This window comes from Homo sapiens, chromosome 9, assembly GCF_000001405.40.
Source record: "Homo sapiens chromosome 9, GRCh38.p14 Primary Assembly".
Taxonomy (NCBI): domain Eukaryota; kingdom Metazoa; phylum Chordata; class Mammalia; order Primates; family Hominidae; genus Homo; species Homo sapiens.
The window spans coordinates 120,344,750-120,361,999 of NC_000009.12; the positions used below are offsets into that span (position 1 = coordinate 120,344,750).

The following is a 17,250-nucleotide window of genomic DNA, read 5'->3' on the forward strand; positions in this document are numbered from 1 at the left end:
ATAAAATTTGAATTCAGGTCCATCTGACCTCCCCGCCCCCACCCCGCCCGAAAGCTTTGTTGTTTATTCAACAAGTATTTAAATGTTTACTATGGGTCTGCCTTTATATTGGATTATAAGACTCTAAATGTTTTTATATGACTTCAATTTAAAGGAGACACTGGCATGTATTCAGACAATTAGATATAGCAGCATAGGTGTTTACAGATCAGAAAGCCTGGTAATAACAACAAACCCTGCCTTGTTAGCCAGGAAGGTTTTCCATAGAAATGGACATCTAAACTGAATCATTAGATTAGACAGAAATTATCCAGGTAAAGAGGTTAATAAAGTCATTCCAAGGAGAGGAAACAGCTTGGACAAAGGCAAATATTTAAGAGAAATCACAGAGTACATGAGAAACCACCAGGAATGGGTGAGTCTGGAGAGTATGGAGAACTGGGGGCTATAATTTTTCAATTGTCCAGATTCAAACAAAACAATCTCCATTTTTCAGACAACAAAACACAAGAACACTCTATGTCACTCACAAGCAACAGTGTATGAGAGTCAAGGAAAGCCTGAGTTTGGCTGCAGTAACAAACAAGGGTTCATTTCTCCCATGCACTACGTGTTTGCTACCGGTTGGCTGTAGCTCTGCTCCACCTTGTCTCCCCTCCAGGTCCCAGGCTGATGGAGCAGCCTCTGTCTATTTGGGACATTGTCAGTCACAATAGCAAAGATGAGGGAAGACCAAACCACATGCTGGCTCCTACAGTTTCTGCTTAGAAGTGGGGCATGTCACTTCTCTCCATTTTTCTTTGGTGAGAGGAAGTCATGTGACCAAGTCTGATTAAAACCAGGGCAGAGCAGGGAGGAGCAGCAAATATGCATGGGTTACGATGGCACCTACCACAGTGAGCCAGAATTTGGGGATGCACTGAAAGTCTGCACTTCATGTAACCACCAAAGCTCACACAGGATTTGATTTTTTTGGTTCCCGGAGGCATGAAATCATCAAAGGGAGGGAAAAGTTGAGTCCATGACATGGCATCAGCTGGACCATGGCTGTGCAAGCAGCATCCCTCCCAGGGTCTCTTCATAATAAACGAATAATAAACATTCTACTAAAATCTTTAAACGGATAGAGGAGTTTAATTATAATAATTTAATTTCAGAAGCAAAAGCTGCTTTTATACAATTACACTGAGGCAACTTTTAATTAACTTTGGAAACTTTCTTTTGCTTAGAAAATCTAATTAAAAATATGGAACTATTAACATCACACAAGATTCAGGAGGGGGCAGAAATAATATTGGGAAGGTATGGAAAAGAGACATAGAAAAGATGCCTTTAGGGAGTTAGGGTCACCTAAGTTTCCCAAAGCATTCAATAGTTCCTGTCCCTCCCTAAGCTCTTGGAACGCCAAGGAAAGTTTTTGCCAACAGTTGCTCTGTGGATTCCTGTAAGCAATGGGATGTGATGAGAGTCCTGCCTTTTCTTTCTTCTGTGTTCAGGACGCACCCATCTCTGATGTAGGGAATATGGGGCGGGGAGGGGGATTAGATTTGAGGGTCAGAGGAAATTTCAGAAAGTGAAATGACACTATAAATTAGCCCCTCCTCAGAGGGGACAGCAGGGGAGAGTCTGCTTACTTTGCAACTTACCTACTCCTAACGTGTGCCCAGGGGATAACAGCATGATCTCAACCACAGTGGTCCACGCTCCAGCAGAATCACCAGGGAGCTCTTCAGAAATACAACACTGAGGGCCGGACGCGGTGGCTCACGCCTATAATCTCAGCACTTTGGGAGGCCAAGGCGGGCAGATCACGAGGTCAAGAGATGGAGACCATCCTAGCCAACATCATGAAACCCCGTCTCTACTAAGAATACAAAAATTAGCTGGGCGTGGTGGCACACGCCTGTAGTCCCAGCTACTCGGGAGGCTGAGGCAGGAGAATCGCTTGAACCTAGGAAGCGGAGGTTGCAGTGAGCTGAGATCGCGCCACTGCACTCCAGCCTGGTGACAGAGCGAGACTCCATCTCAAAAAAAAAAAGAAAAGAAAAGAAATACAACACTGATTCTTGGGCCTTGCCCTAGATCCACTGAGTCTGAACAGGCATTTGTTATTTGTTTGGGAGGATATTTTTTAACTTTTAAGTTCAGGGGTACATGTGCAGGTTTGTTATATGGATCAACTCGTGTCACAGTGGTTTTTTGTACAGATCATTTCATCACCCAGGTATTAAGCCCAGTACCCATTGGTTATTTTTCCTGATCCTCTCCTTCCTCCTACCCTCCACCCTCCCATAGGCCCCAGTGCGTGTTGTTCCCCTCTATGTATCCATGTGTTCTCATCATTTAGCTCTCACCTGTAAGTGAGAACATACGGTATTTGGTTTTCTGTTCCTGCATTAGTTTGCTAAGGATAATGGTCTCCAGCTCCAACTATGTTCCCACAAAGGACATGATCTCATTCCTTTTTATGTCTACATAGTATTCCATGGTGTATATGTACCACATTTTTTTAATCCAATCTATCATTAATGGGCATTTAGATTGATTTCATCTCTTTGCTATTGTGAACAGTGCTGCAATGAACATACGCATGCATGTGTCTTTATGGTAGAACAATTTATATTCCTTTGGGTATATGCCCAGTGATATATATGGTTTGGTTCTGTGTCCCCACCCAAATCTCATGTCAAATTATAATTTCCAGTGTTGGAGATAGGGCCTGGTGGGAGGTGATTGGATCATGGAGGTGGATTTCTCATGAATGGTTTACCACCATCCCCTTTGTGCTATTCTCACGATCGTGACTGGGTTCTTGTGAGATCTGGTTATTTAAAAGTGTGTGGCACCTCCCCCCTCACTCTCTCTTGCCCTTGTTTCCCTCTATGTGAGATGCCTCACTCCCACTTTACCTTCCACCATGACTATAAGTTTCCTGAGTCCTCTTCAGAAGCTGAGCAGATGCCAGCACCATGCTTCCTGTACAGGCTGCAGAACCATAAGCCAGTTAAACCTCTTTTCCTTATAAACTACCCAGCCTCAGGTATTTCTTTATAGCAATGCAAGAACAGACTAATACACCCAGTAATGGGATTGCTGTGTCAAATGGTAATTCTGTTTTTAGCTCTTTGAGGAATCGCCACACTGCTATCCACAATGGTTGAACTAATTTACACTCCCACCAACAGTGTATAAGTGTTCCTTTTTCTCTGGAACCTCACCAGCCTCTGTTTTTTTGAACTTGATGCCCAGGTGTTGGCTATACACGCTAAAGTCTGAGAAGCCCCGGGCGAGGTCACAGTCATCTCCAAGTATGATCTGCCAACAACCTGCTTCAGAAGTCCTTGGGGCGTTGTCTAGAAAGCAGATCTCCAGGCCCTACCCCAAGCCTAGTGAAACAGAACCCCTGGAGGTGGGGCTCAGGGACCCATATTTCATACAAGATCTCCCAAGAGATTCTGGTATGCACTAGAGTTTGGGACAACTGACATCTTCCAAGAAACTCCCTGCTTGAGGTCAGGAAGCCTGACTGGCTGGGGAGTCCCTCAACTTCTTCTCGGCCTCAGTTTCCACAAGAGAAAAGCACCCATTCTAGGAAGCTTACTGAGTGTCCACTGAGAAAGTGGATGGGAACTGCTGTGTAAATGACAGCTGATTATGTAAATCTGAGTGTTCTTTGCTGAAGGTGACATTGTCATCCCAGGCTGGTTCCACTGAAATCAGAGAGACATTGGGGGTTAGGAGAGCCATTTGGGGGGTTAGTAGACCAAGATTCTAACCTGAATTCACCACCAACTTACTACAAGGCCTTCAGCAAATTAGACTACCCTGTCTGGTCTCAGTTTCTCAACTTTCTCACCACCAAGCAATAAAGTTGTAAAATGTGCAGGATAATCTAACCAAACTTTGAGACCTCCTAGGGCCCTGGAATCTGTCATTTGCCCTCTAGGTGGAAACCATCTTCCCAGATGAAGACAGAGGCAGAGGGGTCTCTGACAAGAATGGCTTCAAGCCTACTGGGGGGCTTTAGGAAGAAGGGGCTCTGTCCGCTGCATGTTACAGACATGTGTTTACAAATCAGTCCCTGGCATTCTTGGATTCTTCTGAAACTCTAAAAACAAAACCAAAAGGAAAACAAACAAAATTGATTCTCAAGTGGCTCAGAATCCCCCAGCCCACCTGGCCTTGTGCTTGCCCACCAAGGATTCCAAATATAACCAGCTGACCCAGATTCCTGAGCCAAAGGGCCTCCATTGGAGTTGCATAGGGCAGAGCAGTCGGGAGGAACTTTAATGTTACACTGACCCCCTGTGGAAGTCAGAGGCAGCAGCCGCTGCTCGCACCTCCAGCAGCCCCTCTCCCCTCCCCCCATTCTCCCAACCGAGCACCCCTGACAGCAGCCCCCGACCCTCTGAAGGAGGGCCACCCACCAGCTGCCGCCTCTGAGGCAGAGACCACTGGCCGAATGCGAATGCATCCTGGGGAACCCCCGCCAAAGTCAGACAGAGGACAAAGAGAGGTGGTAGGTATGTCCTCCATTCCAGCTCGCTGCCACCCACCAGCGCACCGTCTCCTGCATGGACGTCGCTACCACCTTCTCAGTGGCCTCCCAGCCCCCTCATTCATCCTCCTTTGGGGCGAGGCCTCTTTCCTGCTCAAATGCCTTCGACAGCTTTCTGTAGCCTAGGGATTAAGTTCAATCCTCGGTCTGGCTTCCAGAGGTCACCAGGATCTAGTCCCAACCTAACTCTTGAGCCTCCTTGCCCAGGCTCTGAGAGGCCAGGAGCACCCAGTTCTTCTCTCATCCCAGTTTCCCACCTCAGGCTGCCCCTCTCCCTCCTGACACCTCCCTGCCTGCCCCTGTCTCCTCTTTCCAGTCCCTCCCAGACTTCGAAGCACAGCAGAAATGCTGCCTCCCGGAGACACCTTCCCTGGTCACTCAAGCTCTTTACAGTAGCAGGAGGTCAGAGGCCAGCTTTGCACCAGCTCCTCCTGCCTCTTGCCAGATGTGCTACAAGTCACTTCCACTCTCAGAGCATCAGTTCTCTCAGACGGAGATGGAAATAATAACCCCAGCCCAGCCTAGCTCAGGGGACGGGTACTGAGATGTCACAAGATAATGGAGAGCTCTGAAAATGGTTAAGTATATGCCTACATTACCTTATGTTACAATGGTTTGTACCATGGTGGGTTTTGGGGTTTTTTTTGGTTTTTTTTTTTGGTTTTTTGTGTTTTTTTTTTTTGTTTTTTGAGATGGAGTTTGCTCTGTCACCCAGGCTGGAGTGCAGTGGTGCACTCTTGGCTCACTGCAACATCTGCCTCCTGAGTTCAAGCAATTCTCCTGCCTCAGCCTCCCAAGTAGCTGGGGCTACAGGCACGTGCTGCCACACCCAGCTAATTTTTGTATTTTTAGTAGAGATGGGGTTTCACGATGTTGGCCAGGCTGGTCTCAAACTCCTGACTTTAGGTGATCCACCACCCTCGGCCTCCCAAAGTGCTGGGATTATAGGCATGAGCCACCATGCCCGGCCTTGTACCTCATTTTGCCTTGCATCAGGTAGGGATTTTGTTTCACACACTAACCTCAGATAACTGAGAGTGGCCACTGGAGCCAGTGAACGGCAGGGTCAGGCCTGGGACCCTGAGGTCCAACTCTGTGTTAGATGCTGGAGACACCAAGATGTCCGCAAAGAGCCCTCCATCAGTGAAGGAGACAGATTCATGAGGATTACAATTCAGGTTGATAAGGGCTGGGACAGAGGTAGACAGGCACCTAGCAGGGCCCTGGACCCGGTCTCTGGTGTTAGGAAAGGCTTCTGGAGGAGGTGATATCTGAACTGGGACCTGAAGGACCAGGGTGTGTTAGCCAAGAGAAGAGCATGAGGATGGGCAGGAGAGCTACAGGTCTCTGCGTGCAATGACCCCAATGCGGGGACACCTTAAGAGTGCAGTGTGGCCAGCAACGCAGTGGGGGCCTGATCATGCAAAAGACTCCAAACATGAGCACAGTGGGCCCTCTGCCAGCTTCTGAAGAAGAAAATGACATGGCCAGATTATTATCTGAGAAGCATTCCTCTGACTTCAAGATGCAGAGCAAATGTGTGACTGGGGACAGGGGGGAGCCAGAGAGAGTGTGAGGCAGTCATTCCAGCCAACAAATTCCCCATCTTTGGGCTCCGATCAGCAAAGGAAAGCCCCACTTAATGCTGCAAGGGGAAAGGCCTGTAGAAATAAGGGAACCACAAATACACTCAGATTCACAGGACCCAAGAGGACCTTAAACATGGTCCCTTCCAAATCCAGCTCCCAGCACCTGACTTCTGTCTTCATCCTTCAGCCTCTGCGTGCCGTCATCCCCGATCAGGGAACTTGTTACCTGCCCAAACAAAGCATTTCCCAAGGAGAAATGTGCCCCAAAGCATATGGGGATGATGGAGACGTGCTGAAAAAAAAGGCATTCTCTGAACCATGAGCCAAGACACGTGGGAGTCATTAGTGCGCAGAGCCCAGAATGGTGAGCGCATGTCCCTCACTCGACCTCTGCCCCATTCTGCCTGGTTATGCCACATTCCCCTGAGACCTGCAGGCATGAGATGTCAGTGGGAAGGAAGAATAAAACCCGCCAGCATGAGGCCCCAGGCCAATGGCCATGGCACTCACAGGTGAGTTGGGCCGGAGGACACAGAATCCTGTCGATGAGAATGAGCTTCCGGAAAGGGGAGGTGGCATCAGCATCCTCAAAGGTGAGTTTCAGAAAAGTCCTTCCGATGTGAGGAGGAGGATGAGTGGGAGGAAATAAACCAGCTGTATGACACCAGGGAGTATTTACTGTGTACCAGGCCATGCCCTCAACACGTTGCACGTTTATTAGCTCACTTCCTCCTCACCAGAAGCCAATGAAGCAGGTACTTCTATAATCCCCATTTTCCAGATGAGGAAGCTGAGGCCCAGAGAGTTTAAGGAACTTGCCCAAGGCTACCCAAGAGTAGGTATGCAGAGTGAGTGGACAAGAGCCAGGCCAGCCTCAAGGAACAGAGCCAGAGCATGTCAGAGCCCCAGGGATGGGGCTGCTTGAGGGGTAGGCGGCTCTACCTTGTGAGGCTGAGCTGGAAAACAGGACCCAGCCAGAGTTTCCTGCTCTGCCATTCTGCAGCTAGATGAGCTCTGGCAATGAATGTCTCCTCTCAGTTTTCTCAGCTGCAAAATGGGCATGATGAGCCTCATCAGCCAGACCTCTCATGAGGATGAACAGGAGAAGGAATGCCCAGCCCAGAGTAGGGACCCACGAGGGCTCCTTCACTTCCCTCCCCTGCAGGCAGCTTGCTGAGCCCCATGGGCACACAACCAAATATCAGGAGCTGGCAGTCAAGAGCAACTCCCCTCCCCTGCCGCGTTTCCTGCCTCACAGCCTCATTCACTGCCCTTACCATGGAGGACACCATGGCCAGCATTTAGGAATCGCCCTGGGGTCTCGTTGTGTGAAGTGAAAGCGTGTTGTGGAGGACATTGTTCATCACAGCTGGGAGACGCCCCTCTCAGAGATCCAGGAGTGCCTCTCAGCCTCTCCCAGGAACAGCTGTGGCTCCTTTGGGCAACAGCAAACAAGTTGTAGATGCTCCTTTTACTCTTTGCTTTACCTACTAGGGAGCTCAGAGCCATGTATACACTGTGATCATCCAGCCCTACCAGTTTCCCAGTACCCACTGAAAGGAAACAATGTGGAGGTCTTTTCTACCAGTGCAGATGGCTTCCCAGCATACATTTTGGGGAACATATACTCCCTTGGGTACATCTTATGTTGCTATACTTGTTTACTCCTAGCCCCAATGACCTTATGCTTTTATTCCCCCAAAATAAAAATACACACATGCCATTTGAAATTCCACCCCCTCAAAGGTGAATGTTCATGTCAACATTTTGGTAGACATCCTTCTAGATGGGCATAAAATGAAAGTATAATTTTATAAAAACAACATCATATAATTGACTCAACTATATGTCATAGCTTTTCATTTCAATGAATATAAATCCACATGACTGCACAGTATTCTATAATATGGATTGCCATCATTTATTTAGCCAGATTCCTGTTTCTATGTACTGTAGGCTCTTTCTCATTTTTGGTCATTATAGAGCAAGCAGCCATGGAATTCCCAGTGTGATTATTTCTCCCATTTGTGTGATATTCTTCTTACAAAAAATTCTTAGAAATAGTCTCATGTTTTTAATCCGACAGTACTGTTTGCATTTTGTAAGAGAAATATTTATAAAATAAAATGATATTTTTGTCCATTTATCAAAATAATAGAATATTATTTCACCATAAAAAAGGGATGAAGTACCGATACGTGCTACAACATGGATAAACCTTGAAAACATACTAAGTGAAAGAAGCCAGTCACCAAAGACCATATATTGTATGACTACATTTATATGACATGCTCAGAATAGGCAAATCGAGGGCTACAGTAGAATGGAAGGTTTGGGGATGATGGCTAAAGGGTATCAGGTTTTCTTTTGGGGAGATGAAAATATTTGAAAATTGATGGAGGGGTGGTTGCACAATTCTGTGAATCCCATTCAATCGTACCACGGAATTGTACAGCTTAAATGGGTTATTTGAACAGTATGTGACTTGTATCTCAATGAAGCTGTTATAAAAATAAAGAAAAATAAACTGTAAACAAATCTCCAGGAGCCTGAAAGGAGACAAGAGGCCTGCGGGGGGACAGGGAGGGAGAGGGATTGGCATCGCAGGGTTCCTCATCCTGGGAAAAAACCAGGAGGCAGCATCTCGGCCCCACACGCCAAGGTGGGAGCAACGGTGTCAGGAGAGTCCCTCTGATGTTGAGGGGGGCCCAGGAGACATCTGCAGGGCCTCCCACCAACCCAGATGGCTGTTCCCAGGCCCACTTTCCCAAGCAATTGGCTCCCACCAGCTCTGAAGGCTGTGACACAGGCAGAGCCTTCTCTGGCACTCATGTGGTAGATGACGAAGCTCTCTGATTACAGCCGCCTTTGATCATTTCCCTGAAAGTCACTAATAAAAGCCAGGCAGCAACAAACAGAAAAGAAGAGGAGGGAAAAGAGCTCTTTAAGTCCCAGTGGCTGGGAAGGGTGGGAGGAGAAAATGGAAGAGGATTGGGCTGAATTTTGGGGATCACCCGGGGGGGTGCTCCTAGTGGAAAGTGGGTATAGCCAATAATTCCACCCGCAGCTTCACACTGGTATCTGCCTCCAAGTGCCTGGCAGATTCTACCATCTGCACTCCAACAGCTGAGAGCACAGGGCAGAGGGCAGTTGGTAGCCACAAGACGCCAGGTAGCCCCCATGCTCCCCTCTTTTCTGTCACCCTCCCAAGAGCCTTCCCCACAGTCAGCCCACTCAGTGGGTTAGAATAGCACCTGGGTTTAGAGTCAGGAGGGCCTCCAATCCCATTTCCTAGCTCCAGGACCCTGAGCAAGTAACTTTCCCTCTCTAAGCCTCAGTTTTCTCACCTATAAAATGGGAGTGATGGCCACAATCTTCATCTTGTTTATTTCCCTGTGCATTATGAAGATCAAATGAGCCACCAGACGAGTCCCTGAACACCAGACTGACTGCTCCAGAATCCCTGTGGATACATACTAAAATACAGATTCCTGGGCCCCCACCCCAAAGAAGAATGGTTCACAGGAAATGGAGTGGGACCCAGGAATCTGTACTTGGGAGGAAAAAGCTTTTCTAGCACTTTTGGTGGGTGGCCAAGCATGGGGGACCTCTACTTTACAAACCAACAGATGTGGCCTCTCAGTCTAAGAGGCAGAGATCTGCCATCAAAGACAGTGCTGTCTGATCCTGGTGAGCAGCTCTCAACTGGACCAAGTTACTTTCTGACTCTGAGCCTCAGTTTCCTCACCCAGAAAGTGGGGGCTCTCACCTCTTTTTCAGGTTTCATAGATTAAGGACATGAAATGCTTAGCACATCATGGGTCTTCAACAAATGGTAGCTGTTATCAGTTTGTTGTTGTTGTTTTTGTGTTTTGTTTGTTTTCCGAGATGGAGTCTTGCTCTGTCTCCCAGGCTGGAGCGCAGTGGCACGATCTTGGCTCACTGCAATCTCTGCCTCCCGGGTTGAAGTGATTCTCCGCCTCAGCCTCCCAAGTAGCTGGGGTTACAGGTGCCTACCACCACACCCAGCTAATTTTTGTATTTTTAGTAGAGACAGGGTTTCACCATGTTGGCCAGGCTAGTCTTGAACTCCTGACCTTGTGATCCACCCACCTCGGCCTCCCAAAGTGCTGGGATTACAGGCGCTCAGTGAGCCACCACTCCCGGCCAATGGTAACTTTCAGGAGTGGGATTCGAACCCACGCCTCCAGGGCAGACTGCGACCTGAACGCAGCCCCTCAGACTGCTCAGCCACCCTGACCAGCTTGCTGTTATTAGTTTTATGTTGGCTGATAATTTTATTACTATTATAGACCGTTAGTTTAAGTTCAGCTTACTCAGAACATAAACATCATCATTTTTGTTGTCCTTTACCTAAAATTTTTCCTTAGTCTTTTTTTTCATCCCAAAAGCAATATATGTTCAGTGTAAAAATTCAAACAATCTGGAAGCATTGAATCCCACTACTCATAGTTCCGTGCATAATCTTGCAGACATTTCTCTATAAACAGGAATAAACATTGCTTTCATTTCATACACACACGCACACACACACACACACACACACACACACATACAATTACATTGTACATTACGGTTTATGCTGAAACTTACTCCTTTTTTCCACTTAATCTATCATGGACACCCTTTCGTGCCAGCATATTGATCTGTTGACCTACAGGCTAAAAAGTATTCCATTAAACAAGTGTACCAGGATTTATTTAACCAGGCCCCTTCTGATCAGCATTTAGGTAGTTTCTGATTTTTCACTCTTAAAAACAAAGCTCCAATGCCCATCCTTCAACATTCATCTTCACACCCTTGGGTAAGCATTCCTGGATATTCATCAGGTACCAGGTGCCTAATACTTAAAATGTATTTATCTCATTTAAACCTCATCACATCTCTGCCAGACTTGACAGATGAAGAGACTGAGACTCGGGGTTTTAAGTCACATGCTTCTGTTCACATAGCTAGTAAAGGGTAGGGCCACAGTAAAGCCTGTGGTTGGTTGATTGCATTGGTAGCCCCCAGTCTGGCTGTCTCTCCACTTCCCTGCTCTTTGGTAGACCCTCCTCTGTGGACTCTTAGTGAGGCCATATCACTTACTTCAGCTAATCAGGAAGTAGCAAAGCAGATGCAAGCAGAAGTTTGAAAAAGCATGTTTGGGCTCCCTCCCTCTGACCCCTGTTCAGCCATGAGAACAAGCCCAGACTAGTCTGTCAAAGAATAAGAAAATATGGAGAACATCTCATCCCAGGCCATCCTAGACCAGCCAGCCCCCAGCCCACCTGCCAGCTGATCTAAGACACATGAACAAGTTCATCCAAGATTAGCCAATCCATCCCAGATCATCAGAACCACACAGGTGACCTGTAGACTCTTGAAAAATAATCAATAGTTCTTATATAAATTCACTGAGTTTTGGTATAATTTGTTATGCAGCAATAACTAACTGATACAAAGCTGAACTCTGACTCACAATCCCTATTATCTCCAAGATCCCACTGCCTTTGTTAAGAATCAAAACCTTATACATATCTCCTTATCAGAGAGTGCTATTTTTAAAAATCCTACATATAGTCCACATGTAACAGACACTGTGCTGACAGACCTGGAAGCTCAAGATGAAATAAGATACGGCCCTGCCACGAGCGACTGACCGTCCAGAGAGAAAGAACCTAAACAAATGATTACTGTTCACAGACAGGAACCTGGAACTCAGAAAGGGCCTCCAATTGATCATAATCACATAGCACCTTAGTGACGAGAAGGAAACCCAGGCCTCCTGACCCTACTAAATCCAGAGTTCCTGGGACCACTCAAACCTTCAACATCTTTGAGCACTGCTAAAAGTTATGTGCCCACATCCCTATCCCTGGCTACACAGAACAGCAGCCCCAGAGAGAGCTTTTTCCCAATTTACTGAGTCTGGTAGAAGACCTCCAGTTTCCATCTAGGGACATTAACTGCAAATTTATATTTGAGGCCCTGTGTGCAGTTTTTTATGCATCCTTAAATACCAAAACATAATTACCAATGTCAATACATAATGTTTATTTCTTTCAGAACCGACATTTTAATTTTCCCAAGCAGGCGGGAAAAATGATATGCATAAAAATAATGACAAATATTCAAAGTCTCCCAAATATGGGACCGAGATCACCCGCGTAATCCTAAATTTCAATGCACCCATGATCACAGCCACATTAAAGGTCTGATAAGCCAAATTAGGTTCCATGTAAGCATAATTAATCTTCTTTTTCAATGAAGATATTACAAGGGCATTAATTTGAATCCCAAAGGCCTTTGGGAAATTGAATTACATAGATAAAGCAAATATTTGACCTTTTGCAGATAATTACTATTTTAAAAAATTCACAATGCAAATGAACACCGAGTAAACCTTGGGTGTTACCCAGCGCTGCTGAAATAAAATTCTTTATAAAAATTCAGCAAGCGAAGAGACAGGTATTCTACTCTATTCAGCCTCCCAGCTTTTTATTTCAAATTTGGAAGCATAAAACTCCAGCCAGGGGTCCTGATGTTTATTAACAAATAATTGAATGAAAATTGGCCAGGACTGATTATGTCAAATTTGCAAATTATCTGTTATCATTCACAGGTCATTAAATTTCAAAAGATAGTAAGCAATGAAGGCTCTTTTCCTACAGCCATGATCCCAGGGCTAGCATTAAATGGGGCTAAGGCTTGTTGAGGTGAATGACTCACCACTGTTAGAACAGTCCTTCTGTCACCTCTGAGCCAGATCCTTGGGTCCCTGGGCAGGGTGGGAAGGAAAAACCTGCATCAGCCCCACCACCCTTCCATTTTGGCCATTTGGTATGGAAGAAAAAGCAGAGGCCTAGGACCAAACCCCAGTCCTACAGCTCATAACCTGAAGGATGCTGGGCATCTCTGGGCTGGGTTTCCTGGGCAGTTAAGGAGGAGAATCAGACCAGTGGTCATGACCCATGGGAATATGAAATGAGATCAAGGTTTTGAATGCTAATGCCTGTGGCACAGTCTTCAGAGTTGGACAAACTTGTGTTTGCATTCTGGTTATCGCACTGATGATCAGGCTTCCTAAGTTTTCCGATCTGTAAAATGGGTCTGTGGCACTGTCAAGCTATCCTGAGGTTCTTGTGAAGATGAAATAAGAGCTCACAAGATGCTGGCAGAGAGCAGGTGCTAAGCTGCTTCTCTGCACTCCCAAACAAAGAATAACTGTGGTGCCTCGGTCCCCTTCCCAATTTCAAAACATACAGCATCTCTGAAGCCTGAAACAGCACTGCTTGGGTCTAGAAAGACACGATCCCTCCAAAAGACTGTTCCTGCAGCTTCTGGTGCTAACCCCTCTCCAGAAAGACGTCACTGCTGCTAATGACTAAAAAAACACTGCTACTAACAACTAACACTTGAGTGCTAGCCTGTGCACTGTTCTAAGAGCTTTGCATGGATATTTCACTGAATCCTCTCTAACAATGTATAAGGAAAGACTGCTATTATCCCCATTTCACAGATGAGGAAACAGACCCAGAGAGGTTACAGAAACCCCTGACCTGGCAGCACCAGGGCTCAGGCCCCACACCCACATGTAGGACTGCCATCTGCACAGTCCAAGAGGCCAGGCCAAGGCCAAGCCACATACCACTGCCACCATGGTCCTGGCCTCCCCTTCCTCTCTCAGTGGACACAAAGATAGGAACTCACCCCTCTCCAAAAGCAAAGGCCTTTATGTCTACCAGTCCACCATGGCATATGCCCCAGAGTCTCCGCTGGCCAGGCCTGCAGCTCCAGGGGCGCTTGCCCTTGTGACACAAAAGTGCTGGCCTGAGGATCTACCCTGTCCCCTGTACCACCAACACTGTAGGATGGTACCTGCCTCTGTTTCTTTCTAAGACTGAGTTACGGGGGATAGAGATGGCCTGAGTTTGGATCTAACTAGTGCTTCCACAAAAAAAGCAGATGCAGGGAGAGAAAGGCAAGAAAACAATAATGATGCTTTCATGTAGCCATGCCGCTGCAGAGCACAGCGACCTGCTTTTCCTGGGTGCAGCTAGGCTTTCAAAAGGGACATTCTGCCCTGGTTTTGAAGGATGAGTGAGGTACCCTGGTGGAGCCAGGGAGGAAGGGCACTCCAGCGGAGGAAGCAGCGGGAACAGAGAGGAAGGTGCATAGAACAAGCGCAGGGGTTAAGGGACAGCCTCCCGCCAGCACCTGAGTCACTCTTTATGTGAAGGTTTCCGGCCCCAGGCTCCCCTTAGCCCAGAGCACTGCCACCAGGTCCTCAGCCTTACCTCTATATCCATGGGGCTAGCAGGATCCAAAGCTGGCCCTGGCTCAGAGCCAGGCAAAGGGATGCATTCTCCCCACAACAGTATTCACCTTCATGTTCCAAGCTCTGTCCAGGGCATCATTCAAAGGCCTCACTCTCAGGCTCTACAGGAAAAGAGGATATTGACCTATTGAGATTAGATAACAAAGCTCCACCAAACCTACTCACTTTCCCCAGCCCCATCAAGGCAAGTCCAGAGGCCTCGGCTCCTGGGAAGTGTTTACAAACTCATCTTCCCCGTCATTATTACACTGGAGTTTTCTATTTATCTGATTACAGCAGAATTGAATCTGGCCAGGTGAAATTAAATTTGTGCATTTCCGCAATCATACAATCTTCAGACACTCAATGTCCTAGTCCCAATTAGCCTGCCCCGATCTAGAAGGAGGGGGAGATGTCCTTATTGACAAGAGGGGAATAAAAACTCAGAGCCTGGAGTGCTCAGTGATTGACCCGCTGTTCTGAAATGAAAATCCAGGGCCTTCCCGGGTACCAGGAGGAGAGCCTCCTGGGCAGGGGTGTGCCAGAGGGGCTCTGGCTGCAGTGGGCAATTTGGTGCTCCCACGATCTGGGGCAGGTTCCTGGGGCTAGGCCTTCAAGCCTGGCAGAGGCACATCCACAAGGAGATATTTGTCTTGGGTCAGGCAACTACTTGACTGTAGATTGCCAGGTGAGCACCACAGCCAAGAAAAGAACCCAAGTTAAACCCCAGATTGTGCCTGGACCCACTGCACGTCCTCATCTGCCCAGCTCCTAACACTGGTGCTCCTGCAACTTCAATGATCTCACCAAACACTTTGCTGGTGGCTTCATCTGCACCCTTAGCTTTGATGACCATCTAGACCTCTAGGTGGTCTTCACCCTGGACCTCTCTCTTGAGCTCCAAATGCAGGAAGCCAGGCCTCTGGGCATCTCCACTTGGATAACCAAGATGCCTCCAACTGAACATAGCCCAAAGGAAGTCAGCATTTTTATTTATTGGGAGCTGATAATATGCTGGGCACTGTTCCAAGGACCTTATGCAAAAAGAATCCTATAAGGAAGCACTGTTCTTATCCCCCTCTTGCAGATGAGGAAACAGTCTGCCTCTCTTTTTTTATGAGATGGAGTCCTACTCTACTGCTCATGCTGGATCGCAGTGGCACAATCTCAGCTCACTGCAACCTCCGTCTTCCGGGTTCAAACGATTCTCCCACCTCAGCCTTCTGAGTAGCTGGGATTACAGGCATGCACCACCATGCCTGGCTAATTTTTGCATTTTTGGTATAGACAAAGTTTCACCATGTTAGCCAGGCTGTTCTCGAACTCCTGGGCTCAAGTGATCCACCTGCCTCGGCCTCCCAATGTGCTGGGATTACAGGCATAAGCCATGACACCTGGTCAGCCTTTCTATATATAAGATTCTTTGGAAGAAGAGAAAGTCAGCGGGCCACAACCATTTCTTCCCCACTCCATAGATGCTGGCCTGTTGCTTCAAAGGAAATCTGAAACCAGCCCGACTTGTTTCTTGCTGAGTTGCCTCTTCAATATTTTGCTTTTTCCTGTCCAGATCCTTGCAAGCTACTTGTTTTTACTTTTTTCCTTGTATTTCAACACATAGTCCAGGATTTATCCAAGCCTGAGTCTCCTTCCACTGGCTTCATCAGGAAGAAGGGGGCTTTTTTAACCTGTACAGCTGATCTTTAATTTCTGCTTTGGGGGGGTGCAGTGGCTTTTCCCTGTAATCCCAGCACTTTGGGAGGCAGATGCAGGAGAATCACTTAAGCCCAAGGGTTCAAGACCAGCCTAGGCAATATATCAAGACCTTGTCTCTATTAAAAACAATAATTAAAAAGAATTAGTCAGGAGTGGTGGCATGCACCTGTAGCCCTAGCTACTTGAGAGGCTGAGGTGAGAGGATCACGTGAGCCCAGGAGTTCAAGGATGCAGTGAGCCTTGATCACACTACTGCACTCCAGCCTGAGCAACAAACCAAGATCCTGTCTCAAAACAAAATTTTAAGGCTGGGTGCAGTGGCTCGTGCCTGTAATCAAAGCACTTTGGGAGTCCCAGGTGGGTGGATCACCTGAGATCAGGAGTTTGAGACCAGCCTGACCAACATGGCAAAACCCCGTCTCTACTAAAAATATAAAGTTAGCCAGGCGTGGTGGCACATGCCTGTAATCCCAGCTACTCAGGAAGCTGATGCAGGAGAATCGCTTGAACTCGGGAGGCGGAGGTTGCAGTGAGCCAAGATAGCGCCACTGCACTCCAGCCTGGCATCAGAGCGAGACTCTGATCCTAATAAATAAATAAACAACATTTTAAAATTTCTGCTTTGGGGCTTATAGTCCTGTTCTTCCTCAAGAACCACCATAATATCTATTATCGCCCCCAAAGTTTCTGTCTTTATCCTTTTATTCTGCCTTCAAAGAGAACTTAAGATCATCCTCTACAACACTGATTTGATTTTCCATAAAGTTGATTTCAACATCAATGTTTCCAGGGATGTTGTAATGATTCTATAGCCTTTTAAATCCTTGTAATCCTTCCTTATCTCATCCATCTCTCTTTATATTTCATCGAAGTATCTGTTCATCTCGGCTTTACCCTCCTTATGATTTTCTGCTCCAATTTCTTAAGAGCCCAGCTTCGAGTGAAGGTCCACACACAATTCTAACATTTTCTTCTGGATCTGGAGAAAACACTTTTCAGAGGTCTAGCCATATTCTGAGTTTTGAGCAATATTCTTTCATTCATTCATCCAGCAATGTTTTTTCATGGAT

General features: G+C 46.9%; 1 long non-coding RNA gene across 1 annotated transcript in view; it reads right to left on the minus strand.

Moving 5' to 3' along the window:
* The window catches only part of LOC105376253 (uncharacterized), a 44,641-nt gene that overhangs the window by 22,535 nt on the left and 4,856 nt on the right, over nt 1-17,250 (minus strand). The window contains exon 2 of the long non-coding RNA XR_002956934.2: nt 14,448-14,589. This is a non-coding gene — a long non-coding RNA (uncharacterized LOC105376253). The remainder of the gene's footprint in view (nt 1-14,447; nt 14,590-17,250) is intronic.